At 39.8% G+C, this 24,330-nt stretch overlaps 1 protein-coding gene and 1 long non-coding RNA gene across 14 annotated transcripts in view; both read left to right on the plus strand.

The window, feature by feature from the left end:
- The window catches only part of IFTAP (intraflagellar transport associated protein), a 64,771-nt gene extending 58,329 nt beyond the window's left edge, over window positions 1-6,442 (plus strand). For all 13 annotated transcript variants that reach the window (NR_077243.2, NM_001276722.2, NM_001276725.2 and 10 more), the window contains one exon: window positions 6,189-6,442. Coding sequence is in view for 12 of the 13 variants with exons in the window: in NM_001276722.2 (NP_001263651.1) it covers window positions 6,189-6,356 (168 nt within the window). In the remaining variant the exon portion in view is untranslated. The remainder of the gene's footprint in view (window positions 1-6,188) is intronic.
- LOC107984325 (uncharacterized) lies at window positions 18,059-20,632 on the plus strand. Its single transcript, XR_001748186.1, has 3 exons — window positions 18,059-18,692; window positions 19,168-19,255; window positions 20,357-20,632. It is a non-coding gene; the product is annotated as an uncharacterized LOC107984325 (long non-coding RNA).
- The last annotated feature ends 3,698 nt before the right edge of the window (window positions 20,633-24,330 follow it).

Raw genomic sequence — 24,330 nt, forward strand, 5'->3', positions numbered from 1 at the left:
TACACACATACATAATTGTATATAGAATTATGTGTATAGAATTACCTTGCCTTAGTTACTTTATTTTGATGAACTTTGGAAGTTTGAAGCTGCTTCAAGCTGCTTTGTTCTGTAGACAGAACAAAGAGAGTTGTTATTAGGAGGATGAAAATTTGTGATACCCACCCTCTCCCCGTGAAAACTGTAGGAGAGGTCATAGAAGAAACTTGTGTGGTATTTTAATAGGAGCTCTCCTGTTTTTCCAATTCATAATAGGACTCTAAAAATTTTCACCTATAAAGACAGTTTATTTACCATATTACTTTGTATAGTAGCCTACAGCTAAATGCTGCCATTATTGATGTAAGCATTAGTTCTATTTTCTTTAGTTTGCCTATGTGGTACTATGAATGAAAACAATCTCTCCATCAACAGTGTCTCTGTTAGAATAAGTCACATGAGAAATTTTAAGGGGACTCAAAGTTTTCCAATAGTGTACAAATTTTATTCCCTGAGAGGCTACAAAAAAGTTTCAATTAGATTTGAAATTAGACACCTGAAATCCACATATTTCTTTCAGCTCCTTAGGCAAAAATAACAAGTTAATAACTTAATTCATGGTTGTTTTTGTTTAGCAGCAGGGGACTTGGTGTTCCATTGCACAAAGTCTTTACTGAAATAAATCATAATTTCAGTTTGTAATCTAAAAACCTTGGCATCTTATAGCTTTGAACTCTAACACGAACTGAACTTGAAAGAAGAGAATTTCCAAAGTATGCCACAACAGCCAATAACTGAAATATATACATAGAAATGCAACCTTTCTGTATTTGAAAAGCTGTCATTTAGAAGACCGCAGTGATATCTTCTGAATTGCGGTATGCCCCTACCTGGGCTCACTTTGAATTACTTATGTGTCTCCTGTCTTGGAAGACTAAATTCACTCATGCATGTCATCATAAGCTTATGTAATTAACATGCAAAGTCAGAACTAGTGCCGAGCTCAGTGCCATGCATATAGTAGGCATACAGTAAACATTTATTAAATGAACACATAAATAAACAATAAACCTCACCACTAAATGGGAGTGATTTTCTGGTATACAGTAACAACGTGGTTGGGGTCATTCTGTCTTTTCTATTTGTTCATTCCCGTCAACATGTAAACGTGTTTAAGTCTTTCCTATCCTTAACAAAATGAAACAAAACAAGGAAAACAAGCTTCCCTTCATCTTGGACCCCTCTTTGGTTACTGTCTGTTCTTATGTCTCTCTTTTCATCCAGAATTGAAAAGCTATTAGACTCTTCAATATATTGTAAAATATCCTTGGCTTCAATTGCCTGCTTGGATGTTTTCAGAATGAAGGCGTCAATTGCTTTATGATTGCCAAATCCAGCGGACACTTTCCAGTCTTCCTTTTAATGGATCTCTCTACCGTGTTTGACACCATTGACCTTCCTCTGGCACTCTTGCTTCATTGGTTCTCACTTCACTTTTCTCCTGTGATTCTTTATTTTATTTTATTTTATTTTTTTATTTTTTATTATACTTTAAGTTCTAGGGTACATGTGCACAATGTGCAGGTTTGTTACACATGTATACATGTGCCATGTTGGTGTGCTGCACAGGAGCCCAAATGTCCATCAATGATCTCCTGTGATTCTTTATGTATTTCTCAAATTGTGTTTTCCCCGACTCCTTTGGGTTTTCTCTCCATCCATCCCTTATGAGTTGGTGTTCCTTTGCATTCTGTGCTTAACCTATAGTTCTTCCCAGCCTACATACTTGAATCCGTCTTCATCTCCAAATTGGTATCTCTAGCTTCACACCTTTTTTTTCAGTTTCAAGTTTGTATATTCAATTCATCTAGATTCCTTCAGGTACATTCAGATTGAACTCTGCTTATCTTTACCTGCTTCCCTTTCTGCATTCTTCCTTTTTTTTACATTTCCATATCCAGTCACTTATCGAGTGCTGCCAATTTCACTTTCTACGGATTTTTCAAATCTCTGCTACCAGTCCCCTGTTCTCATGATCTCTTACTGAACCGCTTTAGCAGGTTCCTGAGTACTCTTCTGGCTCCAGGCTTATCCCACTCAAATCTACCTTCTGTTTAACCTTCATAGTGACCTGTCTCATATAATTTCCAACAGGGCAGGGCATTTTTTTTCTTCTTTTTTACTCCAGCACCTGTCTCATTGTAGGTACTTAATAAAAATTTAATGGATGAAGGAATTTATCTGAAATGCATAGATGACCAAATGTTTTCCCTGCTTTCAAAAAATTCTTCAGTGACTTTTCATCATCTCTAGGATGATTTGGCACCATATTTGTCTCTTGCTACTCTCCGACTTACACTTTGTGCTCTGACAATGCTCACCTACTTTCAGACTCACAAATATGAAATTCTGCATCTTATTTCCATGGTCTGCTCATGGAAACTCCCCGTCAGCAAAGCTCTCCTTTGTCAACTTGTAAACTAATGTTTACCCTTTAAGAGTCAGCTCAGATATCACCTGTTCCAAGACGCCTTCTCTGATTCCTTCCCAATCCCCTCCAACTTAGTCTGGGTCAGGTATTCCTTCTGTGTTCCCATCACCCTGTTCTTACCACATTTTACTCTAATGATTTGTTTATGTGTTTATCTCATTGTTTGTGATTTCATATAGGTCTTCATCTTTGTATCCCCAGCACCTAACACAGTGACTAGAATTTAATAGGAATATAGAGTTTGTGGAAAGAATGTAAAATATCTCAATGATTGCAGGAGGCTATTCCTCTGACATTTCGACTCAGGGATGTACTGGCCACATTACAGTATATCTCCAAAATGGTTTAGAGTGTCCTGAATGTCATGTTTTGGCATTGCAAATGTGACGTTATTACTATTTTTTATTTCTTGCTTTAGTATCTCAGTATCTAACTGATTGCCTAGAAAATCTAATAGCTGCTGTTGATAACCCTTAATTTCTTAGTGAAGAAATTTATATTTTTAATTATATTTTTATACATTGAAGGATATTATAAATGAATAATCTTTGTGTTAACATTATCTTTACTGACTTGCTGAAAACTTTATTCCATGTTATTGTTATGGTTAGTACCAAGTGACTGATGAAGAAAATCATCCTCCATGACAGAGAAGAATGTAAATGTATTTAAAAAAAACTTAAAGGAAAATAAGATGTTTCTATTTTTAAGAATAAATTTCTACATCTCTAGTACCATAAGTTTGGATATTATAGCCACAAGGTAGTTTGAGACCTCAGGGAAGGGAGAATCTTAAGAAGGCAATGGGTTGGGCCGTATCTATAACCAACTTGGCCGTGGGAGCCCTGATCAGAGTTTAGAAGTAAGTCCGAAATACAGGCCTTACTTTATCTGGGTTGCTAGGATGAGGTAGGTAATAAGTGAAGTGATGTGTGGGGAGGCTAGTAGGATTTTCTGGAGACTGGCAAAACTCAATCAAGAGTAAGAGGCCAGGTACAGTGGCTCATGCCTGTAATCCCAGCACTCTGGGAGGCTGCAGTGGGTGGATCACTTGAGGCCAGGAGTTTGAAACCAGCCTGGCCGACATGGCGAAACCCTATCTCTACTAAAAATACAAAAATTAGCCAGGCCTGGTGGTATGCACCAGTTGTCCCAGCTACTCAGGAGGCTGAGGCAGGAGAATTGCTTGAACCTGGGAGGCGGAGGTTGCAGTGAGCTGAGATCATGCCACTGCACTCCTGCCTGGGTGACAGAGGGAGTCTCTGTTTAAAAAAAAAAATAGAAGAGTAAGTGAAGCTTCTGCACTTTCCTCTCTATGCTTCTGTTTCCCTTTTTTGCATTCCTCTATTGGAGAGCAAAGCACGTGATACTGAAATCATTCCTATACTTTTGTCTTCTCCTTGAAGTTATGAAACCTTGTAGACACAGATTTTGCTATAATCACTTTATGTTCCCAGAATCTGCTATATAATAAATGTTTATTGAGTGAACAAGTAAAGGTAAGGGAGGTGGGGATTGAGGTTATTTGTGTTCTGTAGAGGGAGTCGGGGGCATGGTATGGTGTCACTGAGATTTTAACACAGCAAACGGATTTGTCTAATTTGAAATTGTATTCTAACCCCTAAGTGAGAGGTGGGTGAAGACAAAGTGACTGCATCTAGTGAGGATGGCTAGTAAGGTGTAGGCAGGTTTTAGAGGCTTGAAGGTAGAATTTAAAGACCTAGTATAGGGGACACATGCAGGTATAGGCAGCTTGAAGCTTAATAGACATGTGATGAAAGGCCTTTACCCAGGCATGAAAGGGCAGCAAAATTCCCATCAGACTGAATATATTGGTGGAAACAGGTTCTCCTCCTTATGTTTTGCCAGGATCAGCTAGAATCGGCTCCAGATGGTGTTGTAGCCAAGCCTGCAGGCCTCAGTACTTACTGCTGAGTAGAGCTGGAGACAGCAAGAACAGTTAACATTCAGGAAATGAACATCTTGTGTCATTGTGTGTGTGTGTTTCTGCATTTGAGCCATCTAAGCAAGATTGTCCCACTGTCACTTTGGCTGTGTTGATGATAAATTTGATCTCAGACAGTGATCAAAATGGACTGATCAGCCTTGCAGGCTGATTTGCTTTTTGTGTACAGCTGGGTTTTAAGATAGTCATGGTATTACATGTAGCCTTGAGTACAGTTTTCTAATGGTAGGCTGTGAGAATGGATCATCTTATTTAGAAAAGGTCTTCTCTCCAAAGGCTGTGACTTGGCTTAGTGGAAACTTCAAGGTTGATTCTTGCTGGTGTTTCTGTTGAGCAGGTGAGGCTTTATTTGAAGCAGATTACCCTGGATCCAAATATTGCTTCTCTCCCTTACTAACTGTGTATTTTGGGCAAGTTACTTAACCTTTCAGAGCTTTATAAGGTAGGGGTAACAGTGACTACCAGCAGGGTTGCTTGAATATCACTGCTGATGCCACGTGGTTCCTAGTATCAGGGCTGACACATGGTGGAAACTCACCGTGGCAAACTCACCATGGAAACCCAGTGGCAGTTTTGTCAGGAAAGCACTAAGGTCCTTTCTGATAAACAGGAAATGAACGCATCTCCAGAAGTTGTTCTCCTGCTGATTTTACTAACAAAAGATGATAAATGGCTGAGCGTTTGCTATTAGCACTGCACACCTAACTTCAAAACATAACTTGTGGAACAGATAGGAGATAACTACTCATTATTTTTTCTTTCACCTTTAGTAACAGCAGATAGTTTCTGAGCTACATGCTACATTTTTACGAACATTGCATAAGCCACTCAATGAGATCATCTTCCATGCAAGAATATTTAAAGCTGATTATAGCTTCGGGACATTTTTTCATTCTTGCATAAACCATAGTTTTCAATTATTTCAGCATCACTATGCATATTGTGGAGCTACATAGAAGTACTGGATGATTTCATTGTATCACACACCATTTGTTTTTGGAGAGGCTTTTTAGGGGGCGATACAAGAGATTTAAGGCATACTCTTGGTTTATTGGAAAATATGCTTTTTTATCTGCCTTCCTTTAGGAAGTCTTTAAAACTCACAAATTATGAATAGATTCAAAATTATTACATCTCTTTGTAACTACTTTACTTATAGATAAACTGTAATATTTTTAAATTCTTGGTAGAAACAAAGAGATCCTGGACTTTTAAATTTAAAATATGTTTCAAGTTTTACTGTTATTAGCCAAGAGTTATAGGTATTATCTGAAGAAGTATATTCAATGTAGGGTATTTTTATCTTTAAAAAGTAAGTTTTATTAATATAGATCTTTTTTAGCAAATGGTGAAAATCTATTTAAGGTTGATAAAAAAATCTTAGTGTATATTTTTCTCACATTTTAATATAACTGTTGGTTTTTCTGTATGCTTCTGTAGTCCTGACACTACAAGTGGTAAAATGTATAATGAGTATATGCAAGGGAGACTTTCTGATTCTTGCCTTGGGCAGCATTAGTTAATGATATTCATTCAGATAGAGCATGGTACAAATGGAGCATATTAAGAGGCTTAAATTAGGTCAAATTGAATAATTAAATTTATTTCTTTACTTAAAAACAGCTTAATCAGCTGAGAGTGCTGAAGTCTGAAAAAAGGTTTAATTAAATATTAATAGGGAGTTAATTTTTCAACTTTATCTTCATTTACAATGATTGTGTATGTTTTTTCCTCCTTTGTTACCTTTTATAGATACTTGGAGATGAAGTTCAACTTTTTTCACTTGATGAAGAATTTGATTATGACAATGTGATGCTAACCTCCAAGTTTAGTCCTGCAGAGATAGAGAACATCAAAGAGCTATGCAAGCAGCAGAAGAGAAAGGACACCAGCCCAGACTTAGAGAAATCCTGTGACTGATTCACAGAGGCATTTTGTGTGTGTGTGCTTATTTTAATTTTGTTCTTATTCTAGCAACATTAGAATAAAAGATAAACCTACTATAATTCCCTTTGTGGAAATTTACATGTGTGCACTCATTTATCAGAGTTACCTGTTATTAGGGATATAGAGCAACAAGGCCAAGGAGATTGCCGCCCTTACAGAATTCTCTCTCGCCATGTCATTGTTGCATCTTGTGGCTGGTTGGAGGAGATGGGAGTGGGAAATGGGAACAGGAATCAGCATCTATGGAAAGATCCATTTTGATGAAAGCATTGCACTAAGTGATGTGGGGTGCTGTATCAAAGGTCAGAAACATGATCCCACTTTCTTGAGAGTAAAGAACAATTGCAGATGAAAACACATTGTAGCATATTAGAGAAAAATTGCCAATATGAGTAGGTCTGGGTCCTAGCTGTCCAGAGATAGTGCTATCAATGTGAGTGTTGTTGAGAGATTAGGCTTCTGGAATTGATTGGGAAAGGCTTTACTTAAAAAAGTCATCTGAGAATTGATGATATGTCACATATTAAATTCTTGCATTTCATTATTACCATTAAACCATGTGTGATAACGGTTACAAAATACAAGGAAGATCTCTATCTCCAGAAGCTTAAAATACAACTTGAGAAGGCAAAACAACTAGAGAATATAAAAACACATGATGAAGCGCTAATTATGTAGCATACCCATACATGCATTAAGGCAAGGAGAAAAGAGGGATGAAGGCCCAGAGGAAGGGGGAGTAATATGTTTCAATGAATTTTTATTATTGAAGGAATTACTAACAAATTGAATGTACTTAACTGATTTTCTTTTCTCTTTCTTTTAAGCACACTTTGTTTTTCAGAGCAGTTTTATGTTCACAGAAAAATTGAGGAAGACAGCATCGTTTTCATGCACCCCCTGCGTCTCCCCAACTTAGACTTCCTTACTATCAATATCCCACACCAGAGTTGTTTTTTTTGTTGTTTTATTTTTTGCGATTAGTTTTCTTTTTGTGTGTGTGTGTGTGTGTGTGGTAAGAACTTCACATGAGCTCTACTCTCTTCAATGTTTAAGTGTACAATACAGTCTTGTTACCTATATGCACAGTGTTGTGCAGCAGATCTCTGGAATGTATTCATGTATAACTGAAACTATACCCACGGAACAGCAACTCTCCATTTCCCCCTTCCCCTAAACCCTGGCAACCTCCATCCTACTTTCTGCTTCTATGAGTTTGACTTTATAGATAGCTCATATAAGTGGACATGGGGTATTTGTCCTTCTGTGATTGACTTATTTCACTTAGCATAATGCCCTTCAGGTTTGCCCATGTTGTCGCATATAGCAGGATTTCCTTCTTTTTTTAAGGCTGAGTAGTATTCCATTTTATGTATACACTACATTTTCTTTATCCATCCATCAATGAACATTTAGGTTGTTTCCATATCTTGGCTATTGTGAATAATGCTGCAGGCCTGTGCTTGTATGCACGTACTTGTGCTTGTGTGTATGAGGAATTGTGTGTGTGTGTGTTTTGAGTGTGTATATGTATTCATAAAAACACCGTTTATATTTTTTACAAAAGAATGCTCTTGATTTCATGTTGCCCTAGAGTCAAGTGTCTGCCACATTTATTTTTACTTATTCAACAAACTTTCATAAAGCTCCATTTGTGTGTTCAAGCTTTATGCTAGGCAGTGGGGAGGATACAGGCAAGTTAGACATGGTCCAATTAAGTACGGAAGAGAGATGTATACACAAATAATTACAAGCTATATTGTCCAATATAATAGCCACTAGCTGCATTCTAGTACACTAGAGTACTTGAAATATAGTGACTGAGAAAGTTTCAGCTGTTATTTAATTTTTATTTCAATTTAAAATAGAAAACTGATATTTGATTCAGTTATTAGAAAACTTTCAAGTACATTTAGAACAATTTGGGTATGTGAATCTACTTTTTCAATTATACATTTTATGAAATGTAAATGCAGATCAGTTATTTTGGAAAACAGCTTAGTGTATTAGAGTTCTCTAGAGGGACAGAACTAATAAGATACATACATATATATATATATATGAAGGGAAGCTTATTAGGAGAATTGACTCTTACAATCACAAGGTGAAGTCTCACAATAGACCGTCTGCAAGCTGAGGAGCAAGGAAGCCAGTCAGAGTCCCAGTACCTCAAAAGTAGGGAAGCCGGCAGTACAGCCTTCAGTCTGTGGCTGAAGGCCTGAGAGCCCTTGGCAAATCACTAGTGTAAGTCCAAGAGTCCAAAAGCTGAAGAACTTGGAGTCCAGTGTTTGAGGGCAGGAAGCACCCAGCACAGGAGAAAGATGAAGGCCAGATGACTCAGCAAGTCTGCTCTTCCATCTCCTGCCTGCTTTATTCTAGCCACGCTGGCAGCTGATTAGATGGTGCCCATCTAGATTGAGGATGGGTCTGTCTCTCCCAGTTCACTGACTCAAATGTGAATCTCCTTTGGCAACACCCTCACAGACACACCCAGGAATGATACTTTGCATCCTTCAATCAAGTTGACAATATTAACCATCATAGCTTAGTGTCTGAATTTAAAATATGCTGCAAGTATAAAATATGTATTGGATTTCAAAGAATTAGTAGTGAAAAAATGTGACTTTCTTGTTATATTTTTTGTATTAGTATATGTTGAAATGGTCCTATTTTTGATTAAATAGTTAAAATATATTATTAAAATCCACCAATTTCTCTTTACCTTTTTCATGAGACTACTGGGAAATTTGAAATTACACATGTGGCATGCATATTTATATTTGACAGCACTTTAGTCGACGATAATCTTAGTTGTGAGACTGGTGTATACCAAGAGCTACTGGGACAAAACATTTTGGAGTTTTTAAATTATGCTTTGGAGAACTAGGGACTCCTCACAGAGAAACTGATGTTTAAGCTTGGCTGTAAAGAATTAGTAGGAGTTTTTGAGGCAGAAAAGGGGGAAAAATATTATGGTCCAAGGGAATAATGCACAGAGGTGTAATGGAGTGTGACAAACTATTGCTTGGTTAAAGTAAAACCATAGTTTTCTAGTGTATGGGATAAACGGGATAACTGCAGGAGAGGAAGTTGGAAATGTAGGTTGGGGCCAGATTCTGCAGGCCTCGTGTGCTGTAGACTTTATTCTCTAGTTGATAGGGAGCTATTTAATGTGTTCATGCAGAGGAATAACACGATCAAAAATGTATTTCAGAACGGTAACTTCAGCGTGAATGTGAGAGGTAAAATGAATATAGGTCAATCAGGAGACAAGTTCGAAGGATAGTCTGTGTGGGTAAAAGTGGAGGGCATAGATTGGATGAGGTTTGGGAGCAGAAGCAGCGAGGATTTTTGACTAGTGCATTGTGGAAATGAGAGAGCAATTGTGGGGTTAAGACAAGATTTTAGTGTGCAATCTATGTACTCTTTGACTTGAGATAACCTTGTTATATAATTGTTCACAGGAGTGGATACTCTTTTGGCTCTCTTTATATAGCCTTTTGGTAGTTTCAATAAAACAGACTTTACTTTTTTTTAAGAGACAGAAGTTCTGTCACTCAGGCTGGCGTGCCGTGGCACAATCATAGCAGCCTCGAACTCCTGACTCCAAGCAATCTTCCCACCTCAGCCTGCTGAATAGCTAGGACTACAGGTGTGAGCCACCATGTCTGGCTATTTTTTAAAACATTTTTTTTCCCACAGAGACAGGGTCTCACTATGTTTCCCAGGCTGGTCTCTAACTCCTGGCCTCAAGTGATCCTCCTGTTTTGGCCTCCCAAAGTGCTGGGATTACAAGCGTGAACCACTGCACCCGGCCAAGACTTCATCATTTTTACAACATCTCCATTTTATGGACTTAAATAGTTTTATAATAGAAGAAACAAAACCACCTTTTTAAGTGTTTACAAAGAACTACATTTCAGTGAAGTGTTTCATTACTCAACTAGGCAGAGAAGACGGCAGGTGGAACATTTCTATCTGTAGGGTTGGTATACTATGTCTTGGCTTCATTCCTCTTGACAATTTTTGATCCCTGAATTATTTGAGGGGAAATTGTGTATTATGGTGAAAGTGACAGTGGAAAATGAGTCCCTTAAAGTCTTCGAATGAAATTGTTTTGTCTCCATCGTACCATTACCCTTGCCCTAACTAGCAAATAACTTCTTCATGACTGCCTTTCAGTCTTAGCAATCCCTTAAATTGATGGAAATGGTATGTTTTACACTGGTTGGCAAACCCTAACCAAGTAATCCTGCACTTGTAAGGATGGAAAATGTTTACCTGGATTAGGCTGTGGCAACAAAAATAAGATTAATAAAGAGTAGAATATAAGGAGAAGCATCTGGGTGTATACACCAAAATGGGAGGGAAGAACACGAAAATTTTAAAAGTACCTTTAAATAATGTGACCATTGCAACACGAACTAAATCGAAGTAGAGTAAATATCACTTCAAGCCTGTGGCACCAGTCCTGGCTTGTTCAGCATGGTGACACACTGAGAGATCTTACTACTTTCAGGATCCATCTTGTGTGGCATAGCACAAGAAGAAGAAGAAAAATTCTGCTCCAATTTTGAATTTCCTTGACTCCCTTTGTCAAGAATTCTCTTTTATATTCCTCCAAACACATACAACTATATTCTCATTTTGTTTATTTATTTATTTAGACACAAATCTCCCTCTGCAGTGGCGTGATTATAACTCACTGTAGCCTCGAACTTCTGGCCTCAAGCGATCCTCCCACTTCAGGCTCCTGAGTAGGTGGTACCACAGGTTCATGCCACCATATCGAGCTAATTTTTAATTTTTTTATAGAGACGGGGTCTCACTATGTTGCCCAGACTGGTCTCGAACTCCTGGGCTCAAGTGATCCTCCCACCTTGGCCCCCCCAGAGCACTGGGATTATAGGTGTGAGCTACTGCTCCTGGACAGTATCCTCTTTTTTTAAAAGTTCTTTTAAAAAAGAACTTTTCCCTGTGTGTTAAGTGACTGTGGTTGAATTAACATACGAAAAAGTTAAGGGAAAACATTTTCATTTCATTTGCTTGCTTCTTGGAAGTTGATGGTAAGTGAACACAGTAGCATGTGAAATGACGTGAAAGAGACCATCTTACTGAGAATTTTCTAGAAAGATATTTCTCCATATGTAAAAAAACAATCCGTCCTCCTCACCATGGCTTACCCAGCTTTATGTAATATGGCCCTTACGTGACTCTCCAATCTCATCTAGCACCATCTTCCTCATTTTTTACTGTGTTCTGGCCAGTTCGTATTATTTTTTGTTTGTTTTTCAAACACTCTGCCTTTTTTCCACCTTAGGGCTTTCATTCTTGTTTTTCCTTCTCATTGGTCTTCCCTGGTATTCATTTGGCTGGATCCTTGTTATTATTCAGGCCTTAGGTGAAATATATCTTCCCAGAATCTCTCTCTAACAGCCCTATTTAATCTTTTTCCCACAAGCCTCCATCCCTATCACTGTGCACCCTTGTTTTGTTTATTATCTGACTCTCCCTTTAGAACATGAGCTACAAGAAGGCATGAACCCAGTCTGCCTTTACATTGCAGCTGCCCCAACCCCTGAAAAGGCCCTGCAGTAAAGTAGGGGTTCAATAAATATTTACTAAATGAATCAAACCTAAAAATATAAGCTTAGCAGCTTGAAGAACTTGGAGGTCCATTTCATCAGTTCAATTTGGTTAGATGTATATTGAGCACTTTTTGTATTCAAGGCATACCTAAGTGTTTTACTTCCTAGACTGATAAAAATCTGATGGCCAGTGCAAATTTGGGAAGCCTGGCCTGTTCTACAGAACTGTTCCATGTTCAACAAGTTTCTTTCTTTTATTCATCAGAATCCCGTAGAGAATTGAGAGAAAGTTCGTTCTCATGGGAACTTTATCCACTCCTCAATTGCTCTTTTGAAACTTTGTTATGACGTCTTAAATTGAAAATCCTATTCAGGAGCAATTCATGTGGTGTAATACTGATATTAATGCAGGCATTATTAAGAAATTATTTTTAGGCAGCTAGAAAGGGTGAAAGTTCTCAGTGGAATTTTTTTTTTTTTAATAAAAAGCGATCCCCGAAACATTTCTTTTCTAACAAAAAGTGTCTTGAAAAACCAGACCTACAAGCATTGATATGCCAATGCCAGCAGCTAAAAGCCAGGTCCACCCAATATGGCATCTCCCACCCTCTTTTCCTTGTTACCATGTGTGCCAGATGTCATGGCAGCCTCCAGATAAAACCACGTGTACTGGCATCATGGCCGCCACCAGATGGAGGCCGCATTTGTATAATAAAAGATAGGGTGGGAGGGCCAGTCTTTTCACGGGCTAAGTAAATGGCACACCTGGTCAACCCAATCCCCTGAGGCCTATGTAAATCAGTCACCGCCCCCTCAACTTTCTGTACAAACCAATTGCAGTCCGCCACAAACGAGGCCCTCTTCCACCTGCTTTCTCAACACGAGGAAGCATTTTCTCTCTCTTTTCTTTTTCTATTAAACTTGCCGCTCCTGAACCCAATCCTCATGTGTGTCTGTGTCCTGAATTCTTTCTTGACTGAGACCAAGAGCCAGGGTATATACCCCAGACAGTGAAGCCATTTCATTTTGGGTTCTTGCCCAGAATCTGGATCAGAACAGAAGATAGACACATTGGAGTGGTGAGTATGGAATGAACCTCAAATCCATCCTTTAATCTCAAGGCTCTCTTCCAGCTATCCTGTTGCTAAATTTTCCTTTCTTTTCTATCCGCGGTTGCTACGTCTATTCTCTGTGTATGTGATGTGTGGAAATTTTTACAGTTCAGAGAAACAGGTCTGTTAGAAAAGATCGGCAAACGTGGCAGGCAGTAACTTAGTAAGCATCTCTCTCTACCATTTATCTGGTGAGCACATGGTATTTCTAAGCCAAAAAGCGCCTCCTAGTAGAAATAGAAATCCTCTTCATGAGGCATGTTGCGGGTCCTTCCTTTGCCTTACAGTGCACCTTCCTTTTGCGCCACCAGAAATCAGGCTCTAAGCCCCCTCTGTGAACAGGAAAGTTCTGCCTTCAGCAGTTAGGAGTAAAATGTCCTCCATAGCCAAATTTTAGTTCTGATGCTGTCCCAACAGCAGGAAAACGGCCATTCAGTCCCTACATTCTTTTAAGAAACTTAGTCTGTTTCCAATTAGAACAGTACTTAATTAATAAGAGGATTTTAGTTTCAGAGGTTAACGGGAACCGTTTTTCTAAGAGTAAATGCTTTAGCATGGGCCATAATAGCAGAATATAGGGTTCAATCTAGCATACCCCCCATTAAAGGGGCCTTGCCCAATTACTTAGTTTTTCTTGAGATTCATTTTTTTTAGGGAGGCACACAGGTCACACAGGTCTAGGAAGTCAAAGGGAAATCATAGGCAGAGGACTACAGCTGCTTGGAGGAGCACAGCTAGGCCCAAATCTTAGTTCCTCTGGTGCTGTGGCTTGGAGGGTCATGCCTGCAATCATGGGTGGCACATTTAACATGGTGCCATAACTTGGGAACCAAAAAGAGAAAACAGTCATGGGGATGCTCCCACTGTCTTCCCCTCCATCCTGGGTCACAAAGAAAGGAAGGAGACTAAAAGAACGCTTTTATTCTTGCTTCCCTTTCTAGATGGGTACTGTCTTCAGCCTGCACTCCCCTGAAGTGCATTCTGAGGTGCTGGGGGCATCTTTCACCCTGAGACTTTAAAGAAAAAGCAGCTCATTTTCTTTTGCATAAGGGCATGGCCTTTTTACTAGACCTTTGCAAGCATTGCAAAATCAACCCAGCTCTTTTAGCAATCATATCAGGCAGGCCCAACGAGAATAATTCCCCGAAATTAGAGAAGCAAGTTCCAGGGGAACCATCTGAGGATCCCTCTTATTTGGGACCCCTTCAAGTTCCCTTCTCATTATAGGATCTTAGACAAATAAAAGGAAACTTAGGCCAGTTTTCTGACGACCCTGTTAAATATATAGAAACCTTCCACAATTTAACTCAGGTCTATGGTGTTTTTCCTTCTTTCACAGTTTAAAATGGATCTTTTATAATGTTCTTCCAACCTGGGAAATGTTAATTTTCCAAACCTTAAAATGCTTGGCTTAGAGTTGAGCTGGGGGGAAGGGAATCCAGAAGCCTGACATTCTGGAAAAAGAGTAAAAATTTACCAGTCGAGGCTGAGCGCAGTGGCTCACGCCTGTAATCCCAGCACTTTGGGAGGCCGAGTCAGGTGGATCACGAGGTCAGGAGTTTGAGACCAGCCTGACTAACATGGTGAAACCCCGTCTGTACTAAAAATACAAAAATTAGCTGGGTGTGGTGGCAGGCACCTGTAATCCCAGCTACTCAGGAGGCTGAGGCAGGAGTATCGCTTTAACCTGGGAGGCAGACGTTGCAGTGAGCCGAGATTGCACCATTGCACTCCAGCCTCGGCAATGGAGCGAGACTCTGTCTCCAAAAAAAAAAAAAAAAAATTTACCAGTCGAGCTTTTGGCTTCCCTCTCCCTGTGCAAACTGGTAAAAAAGATCATAAAAATAATGACAAAGGATTTGTGAGGTTGATCTTAAGCTGTAGCCAATCTGGTGTGCTTTGTGTGTCTTTCTGTATGGTTCTGTCAAAAGAAAGACCATCTTAGGTTAGGATGCAGGCCCAGGACCCCATAAGGCTGCTGTTCATTGCCAGCTCAACAAAATAGTAACAAACTTGGCTACAAGCCTCCATCTTGTTTCAAGTCCTTCGGAACATGACCTGTAACCACGTAGGAATTCTTTGTTTTAGCCTCTGCCATTTTAAATGGTGGCTGTCTTCTTGTGCTAAGTCAGTTCCTGGGTGAAGGCCACAAAATCCGATAAGCCACTTTATTGATTTGGGTGGTGCCAGCTCAAGGGTAGGGCTTACAAAATATCTTAAGCACTGATCTTGAGAGCAGCTGATGGAGGATCGGAGTTTTGTAGCCTCCAGCTGCTTGGCTCCTGGGCCATGGTTTTTAATCTTGTGGCTAGTTTCTTGGTCTGGTCCCCAGGCAAGAAGGAAGTATATATGATGAAGTGGCTGTTATCATCTTTGTTTTAGACTATAAACTGTAAATCAGGCTCCTCCCAAAATTGGTTCGGCCCACTCCCAGGGATGCGCAAGGACGACTTAGGGGCTGGAAACAAAATGGAGTTGGTTGGGTTGAATCTCTTTCAGTGTCTCAGTGACAATTTTGCAATGATGGTTTCAAAAATTGCCTGTCACCCACTTTGAAGATATCTTGTACACCTGTGGTTAATCATAACCTAATTAAGGTTTGTTGGTTTCACCTGTGAGGTTACTTTTTGTAAAGTTCAAAAGCTGAAAAATCTTAACTGCTTGGCGTGGCTAAAGTAGAGTAACAAGGGATTTAAAAGGATTTTCTTAAACAGCACTCAGCTTAATCAAAAGTGGATATTCAAGTTATAGGTATATTTAAAAGGCCTTTATGGTTTTCGCTTCTTGGATCTTGTTTTTCTGGAAAAAGGTTTTTTTCTTCTCAGTCTACTGAATTATTTTTCTCCGTTTTTTGTCTTGCCACACTTAATGCATACATGAGAGGCCCTAAGATAACTTCTGGTAGCATGGGACTCCGTGGGAAAACAGAGGAGGTGCCACAGACATTGTTTTGGGAAAAAAACCTCTGTTTTCCTCATGAAACCCCAGGAATTAAAAGCAGATACTTCCCTCTCAAAATCAAAGGCTCTGTTCTGTTTTGCCTTGTGTTATCTGGCCATTTTGAGTTTTGGGGGTATCAAATTACTTCACATTAGGAGAGAGCTTTGGTGTGTAATAATTAAGTAAGAAATACACTCTTTAAAAGATGGCTCTCCCTCCTTTTGGGGATCCAAAAATCCAGCATAAAAAGGCATCCTTAATTTTCCAGATCTGTCTTTACCTGTGGCTGTGCTTGCTTATTAGTCCCTAAAGATGCATGCCATCCCGGCCCTGTTCCTCCAAGGGCTCCACCCTGAAGCCAGTAATCCAGTTATGAAAGCGTCAAATAAAAATCTTACAAGTGCTGAATCTTCTGTCTGTGTCGCTGTGTATGTGTTTTGTGTGATGTCTATAAAAAGAGCTCCAATTAATTGGCTTAAAGAAAAAATAAGCACTGAAATATTTTTTAGTTCGTGTGACTTTAATATTTAAGCTGGTACATAACTAAAATCACTTACTGGCTGGGTGCGGTGGCTCATGCCTGTAATTCCAGCACTTGGGAGGCCTAGGTAGGTGGATTGCTTGAGGTCAGGAGTTCGAGACCAGCCTGGCCAACATGGTGAAACCCTGTCTCTACTAAAATACAAAAATTAGCTGGGCATGGTGGCGGGTGCTTGTGATCCCAGCTACTAGGGAGGCTGAAGCAGGAGAATTGCTTGAACCCAGGAGGTGGAGGTTGCAGTGAGTTGAGATCGTGCCACTGCGCTCCAGCCTGGGCGACAGCAAGACTCTGTCTCAAGAAACACAACAACAATTAAAAACACTTACTAACCAGGCTTTTCACCAAAAATAAAAGTTGCTAAGAGTTAAGAGTGCAACATGTATTTGAGATCATTAAACAGTTTTACATTCAAGGCATATAAAAACAGTGAAATGTGTTTTTTAGTAAAAGATTATAAGAAAGCATGGAAATCCAAATTTTGCCCAGGAATAAGGGATTATCTTACATTTAATAAGATAAAGCTAAATGTTTAAGTAAGTTGTGGAAAGATTGTAAAAATTAATCTTGCAAAAATGTGTAAACCTAACTAAATTCAAAAGCATATTACATGGTCTTTTCATAAATTGAGCATTGAAATAAAAGCACAACAAGGGTGTCTTAAGACACTAATCTGCCCGTTAGTAAAAGAGGTTATAAAGGGCTTGTAAAGATTTCACCTCATGGTCAAATTGGTTAAGATTAGATGGAATCATCTATAAGCTTCCATTTAAAGAAATTGGGATTGATATCAGTAAATTAATGCAAGGGTAAAATTTTGCTTAAACAGGATTTTCATGTAATAATAAAGGATAATAAAAATTTTTGCTTTTTGAGTCATCGTTTTGGCAAAATAAATAATTTATGGCAATTTGGAATTCTATTTCATAACATCAAGTGTTTTAAACCTCTAACATTTAACAGGCACCCAAAAATCAAACTTTAAGTTTCAAAATTGTCTTTCCTGATGCCTGGCTTTCTGGATGGTTCAGAGGGCCCCTGAAACATTCAGAAAAGAGGTGAACAGGATTATTTGACATGTTTTGTCACATGAAATTGCCAAAACGATGTCCAATCTTCTTTAAGTTATATTTTGATGAATAATACTAACATATGTTCCAAAATTGTATGGGATTTCTAAAATTTTAATGTCTAAATATATGCTATCAATAGTAATTAGGGGTAAAGTTATAAGCCATGGAGATAACTAAATTTCTTTGTCAGTCTTTTTTTTTTTTTTTTTTTTGAGATGGAGTCTCACACTGTTGCCTAGGCTGGAGTGCAGTATCGTGATCTTGGCTCACTGCAAGCTCCACTTCCCGTGTTCATGCCATTCTCCTGTCTCAGCCTCCTGAGTAGCTGAGACTACCGGCACCCACCACCATGCCTGGCTAATTTTTTGTATTTTTAGTAGAGACGGGGTTTCACCATGTTAGCCAGGATGGTCTCGATCTCCTGACCTCGTGATCAGCCTGCCTTGGCCTCCCAAAGTGCTGGGATTACAGGCATAAGCCACCATGCCCAGCCTGTCAGTCATGTTTTTAACTGTAACTATCCTGGAAATTTTGTCATTCAAAGACCATTTTGTCTTGCTTTGTTCCTTCTTAAAAGATAGGTTATAATCAAGCTATAAAACTTGAACAGGTGTTCTCAAATGTGAGTTTTTAATAGCCTTGAAGATTGTAACATTGGAATAGAGAAAGAATGTGTGGGACTCATGAAGAACTGAAATGTTCACGAATGTCAAGCAATACAAGAGTTAACTAAATGGACTGCACTCAGAAAGTTAAAGCAACCTTTTTGACTTTTACTTGGAATGTTGCTGATCCTTGTTTTGTTTTTCAGAGTTAAGAAAACTTATTTTAAACTATTTATGGCCTTTAATAATTGAGTAAGGTATACTCCTGCAAACAAAATTTGGAGCACGTTTGTTTCTGTCTGCCTGGTTCCTCTAGAAGTTGGAAACTGCCTGTGAGTACTCTTAACTTATGGAAATATAGTTGTTTGCATCAGTGCAATAAGATCCATTTTTCTTTTTCAACAGGACACAACTGGAAAAGCTAGTTATTTTACCAAGGCTTTGACCGAAAGGGTATGCTTCCCTTTAAGAGTCTATCTTTACTTCCAGTGCCGATAAAAGCCTCTTGGGGAGAACTGGCCTCATCCCTTGTCTACACAGTCCCCGCACAGGGTTCCTAATCTGTGGTCAGTAAAGAATGTCACTTTCTAACAGGTCCAGGAGCTCCAAGTTTATCTTGGGACTCACAGGATAAAAACTCATGGCTGGGCTTTAAGAGGTCTTATCTGAGATTCCTTTTGAAACAGAGTGCCATCAAAGCCAATCCAAAAGGCTTACATAGAAATAATTATTCTTACTGTACTTTATGCAAATAATCAGGCCAAATATAAAACTAAAGTTTATTCTACAAACAACACAATACTATCATAATTTGCTTTTACCAAAAATGGGGACTAGAGAGAGAAACTATGCTCTAAAGCTTATCATTATGCTCCAAAGCTTATCATACATTTGTCATTAAATCATAGTCTCATTAATTGTTTTTCAGCTTTTTGCCTACATTTTAGACTAACCCTGCTTATTCCTGTGAATCAAGTGGTGATCTCCTGCAGCTTGGAAGAAACAAAAAGGCATAGGTAATGTGAAAATCTAGATCAATATGCTAGTTCTGGGCAATTATCCTGTAAATTCTGCCAGGTAATGAGAGTGAATAGGGTGCCCATAACTCAGAGGTTTCTTTGTTTAGGGAAATAGAACCAAGGAACTTTATAGATCCCCAAAGGGAAATTCTATATCTTAGCAAGTAAAATTTTAGATGGAAATTATCTACTTACACCACACTTGCAGGAATTGCTCTACTCACTCTACTATTTGTAGTAGAGCTATACACAGTAGCACTGTTTTTTGTTTTGTTTTGTTTTGTTTTTTTGAGGCTCAGTTTCGCTCTTGTTGCCCAGGCTGGAGTGCAATGGCGGGATCTCGGCTCACTGCAACCTCCATCTCCCGGGTTGAAGCGATTCTCTCCTGCCACAGCCTCCCTGGTAGCTGGGATTATAGGCATGCGCCATCACACCCGGCTACTTTTTTATTTTTAGTAGAGACGGGGTTTTCCCATGTTGGTCAGGCTGGTCTCGAACTCCCAACCTCAGGTGATCCGCCCACCTCGGCCTCCTAAAGTGCTGGGATTACAGGCATGAGCCACCACGCCTGGCCGGTAGCACCTTTTAATTGAAATATTGGACGGAGAGTTTCCATTGCTGCAATATTTTTTGCTTAATTATTATCCTTATAGTAGGGATAATAGCTGCCAACAAAAGGGAAGCATGAAAGTTTTACTATCACTGAGTTTGCTAGAACTTCTTATTGGGTTTGGTAATATGTCACATCCTGGTTATGCAAAGGTTATAAAGGAAAGAGATTTTCTGTGGAAGTCATGAAAGGATTGATAATTGCAGGAAAAATGTAGCCAAGGTTAACACTAAAGTTATTCTAGCCACCCAATCCAATGCCACTTTTCCTAAAAGGAATGTTACTTTTATATGAATGTTTCTGATTATGTACAGCGACATCTAGTGGAGGCAAACTGGTATTACAATCCATTGGTGTAACTAACAGGTATCAAACTCTACTGTCATAGTTATGGTCTATAGGCCCTCCATTAACAGTGGTAATCTCGATACTCATATTCTAATCCTATATTTTAAACCTCCTTGTAAAATTTATCTCTTTTCACCTAGAAGCAATCAAACCCCAAATGGTGCTGCAGACAGAGCCACACATGGACACACCATTCTTCTGAGAACACTTAGATTGACCTCAAGAGGAGGCCCAACCACTGTCCTCCAACAAGATGCCCCTTTTTAGCAGGAAGTAGCCAGAAAGAATCGTCATCCAATACCCCCTAACGGCAGTTAAGTTTATGTCTGTAGAGGGGGGAAATAATACAGGAGTTATTAAGAAATTATTTTTAGAGGTTCCGAGATGGCTGAATAGGAACAGCTACAGTCTACAGCTCCCAGCGTGAGCGACACAGAAAATGGGTGATTTCTGCATTTCCAACTGAGGTATTGGGTTCATCTCACTGGGGCTTGTCGGACAGTGGGTGCAGCCCACAGAGTGTGAGCTGAAGCAGGGTGGGACATTGCCTCACCCGGGAAGTGCAAAGGGTTGGGGAATTCCCTTTCCTAGCCAAGGGAAGCCATGACAGACAGTACCTGGAAAATTGGGACACTTCCACCTTAATACTGGGCTTTTCCAATGGTCTTAGCAGATGGCACACCAGGAGATTATATCCCATGCGTGGCTTGGAGGGTCCCACGTCCATGGAGCCTCCCCCACTGCAAGCACAGCTAACAGAGATCGAACTGCAAGGTGGAAGTGAGGTGGGGGGAGGGGCATCCACCATTGCTGAGGCTTGAGTAAGTAAACAAAGCCTCTGGGAAGCTTGAACTGGGTGGAGCCCACTGCAGCTCAAGGAGGCCTGGTGTGCCTCTGTAGACTCCACCTCTGCGGGCAGGGCATAGCTGAACAAAAGGCAGCAGAAACTTCTGCAGACTTAAACGTCCCTGTCTGACAGCTTTGAAGAGAGTAGTGGTTCTCCCAGCATGGAGTTTGATATCTGAGAACGGACAGACCGCCTCCTCAAGTTGGTCCCTGACCCTTGAGTAGCCTAACTGGGAAACACCTCCCAGTAGGGGGCCGACTGACATCTCATACAGCCGGGTGCCCCTCTGAGATGAAGCTTCCAGAGGAACGATCAGGCAGCAACATTTGCCGTTCTGCAATATTTACTGTTCTGCCACCTCCACTGGTGATACCCAGGCAAAACTGGACTTCCAGCAAATTCCAACAGACCTGCAGCTGAGGGTTCTGACTGTTAGAAGGAAAACTAATAAACAGAAAGGACATCCACACCAAAACCCCATCTGTACATCACCATCATCAAAGACCAAAGGTAGATAAAAACACAAAGATGGGGAGAAACCAGAGCAGAAAAGCGGAAAATTCTAAAAATCAGAGAGTCTCTCTCTCCTCCTCCAAAGGAATGCAGCTCCTCGCCAGCAACAGAACAAAGTTGGATAGAGAATGACTTTGACGAGTTAAGAGAAGAAGGCTTCAGATAATCGGTAATAACAAACTTCTCCAAGCTAAAGAAGGGTGTTCAAACCCATCGTAAAGAAGCTAAAAACCTTGAAAAAAGATTAGACGAATGGCTAACTAGAATAAACAGCATAGAGAAGGCCTTAAATGACCTGATGGAGCTAAAAACCATGGCACGAGAACTACATGACACATGCACAAGCTTCAGTAGCTGATTCAATCAAGTGGAAGAAAAGGTATCAGTGACTGAAGATCAAATGAATGAAATGAAGTGAGAAGAGAAGTTTAGAGAAAAAAGAGTAAAAAGAAATGAACAAAGTCTCGAAGAAATATGGGACTATGTCAAAAGACCAAATCTACGTCTGATTGGTGTACCTGAAAATGACGGGGAGAATGGAACCAAGCTGGAAAACACTCTTCAGGATATTATCCAGGAGAACTTCCCCAGCCTAGCAAGGCAGGCCAACATTCAAATTCAGGACATACAGAAAACGCCACAGAGATACTCCTCAAGAAGAGCAACTCCAAGACACATAATTGTCAGATTCACCAAAGTTGAAATGAAGGAAAAAATGTTAAGGGCAGCCAGAGAGAAAGGTGGGGTTACCCACAAAGGGAAGCCCATCAGACTAACAGCGGATCTTTCAGCAGAAACTATACAAGCCAGAAGAGAGTGGGGGCCAATACTCAACATTCTTAAAGAAAAGAATTTTCAACCCAGAATTTCATATCCAGCCAAACTAAGCTTCATAAGTCAAGGAGAAATACAATCCTTTACAGACCAGCAAATGCTGACAGATTTTGTCACCAACAGGCCTGCCTTACAAGAGCTCCTGAAGGAAGCACTCAACATGGAAAGGAACAACTGGTACCAGCCACTGCAAAAACATGCCAAATTGTAAAGACCATTGATTCTAGGAAGAAACTGCATCAACTAATGAGCAAAATAACCAGCTAACATCATAATGACAGGATCAAATTCACACATAACAATATTAACCTTACATGTAAATGGGTTAAATGCTCCAATTAAAAGACACAGACTGGCAAATTGGATAAAGAATCAAGACCCATCAGTGTGCTGTATTCAGGAGACCCATCTCACGTGAAGAGACACACATAGGCTTAAACTAAAGGGATGGAGGAAGATCTACCAAGCAAATGGAAAACAAAAAAGAGCAGGGGTTGCAATCCTAGTCTCTGATAAAACAGACTTTAAACCAACAAAGATCAAAAGAGACAAAGAAGGCCATTACATAATGGTAAAGGGATCAATTCAACAAGAAGAGCTAACTATCCTAAATATATATGCACCCATTACAGGAGCACCCAGATTCATAAAGCAAGTCCTTGGAGACCTACAAAGAGACTTAGACTCCCACACAATAATAATGGGAGACTTTAACACCCCCACTGTCAACATTAGACAGATCAACGAGACAGAAAGTTAACAAGGATATCCAGGACTTGAACTCAGCTCTACACCAAGCGGACCCAATGGACAGCTACAGAACTCTCCACCACAAATCAACAGAATATACATTCTTTTCAGCACCACATCGTACTTTTTCCAAAATTGACCACATAGTTGGTAGTAAAGCACTCCTCAGCAAATGTGAAAGAACAGAAATTATAAAAAACTGTCTCTCAGACCACAGTGCAATCAAACTAGAACTCAGGATTAAGAAACTCACTCAAAACCACTCAACTACATGGAAACTGAACAACCTGCTCCTGAATGACTACAGGGTACATAACGAAATGAAGGCAGAAATAAAGATGTTCTTTGAAACCAATGAGAACAAACACACAACATACCAGAATCGCTGGGACACATTTTTTTTTTTTTTTTTTTTTTTTTTTTTTTTGAGACGGAGTCTCGCTCTGTCGCCCAGGCCAGACTGCGGACTGCAGTGGCGCAATCTCGGCTCACTGCAAGCTCCGCTTCCCCGGGTTCACGCCATTCTCCTGCCTCAGCCTCCCGAGTAGCTGGGACTACAGGCGCCCGCCACCGCGCCCGGCTAATTTTTTGTATTTTTAGTAGAGACGGGGTTTCACCTTGTTAGCCAGGATGGTCTCGATCTCCTGACCTCATGATCCACCCGCCTCGGCCTCCCAAAGTGCTGGGATTACAGGCATGAGCCACCGCGCCCGGCCTGGGACACATTTAAAGCAGTGTGTAGAGGGAAATTTATAGCACTAAATGCCCACAAGAGAAAGCAGGAAAGATCTAAAACTGACACCCTAACACCACAATTAAAAGAACTAGAGAAGCAAGAGCAAACACATTCAAAAGCTAGCAGAAGGCAAGAAATAACTAAGATCAGAGCAGAACTGAAGGAGATAGAGACACAAAAAACCCTTCAAAATATCAATGAATCCAGGAGCTGATTTTTTGAAAAAATCAACAAAATTGATAGACTGCTAGCAAGACTAATAAAGAAGAAAAGAGAGAAGAATCAAATAGATGCAATAAAAAAATGATAAAGGGGATATAACCACCAATCCCACAGAAATACAAACTACCATCAGAGAATACTATAAACACCTCTACGCAAATAAACTAGAAAATCTAGAAGAAATGGATAAATTCCTGGACACATATACCCTC

Source organism: Homo sapiens, chromosome 11 (genome assembly GCF_000001405.40).
Source record: "Homo sapiens chromosome 11, GRCh38.p14 Primary Assembly".
Taxonomy (NCBI): Eukaryota; Metazoa; Chordata; class Mammalia; order Primates; family Hominidae; genus Homo; species Homo sapiens.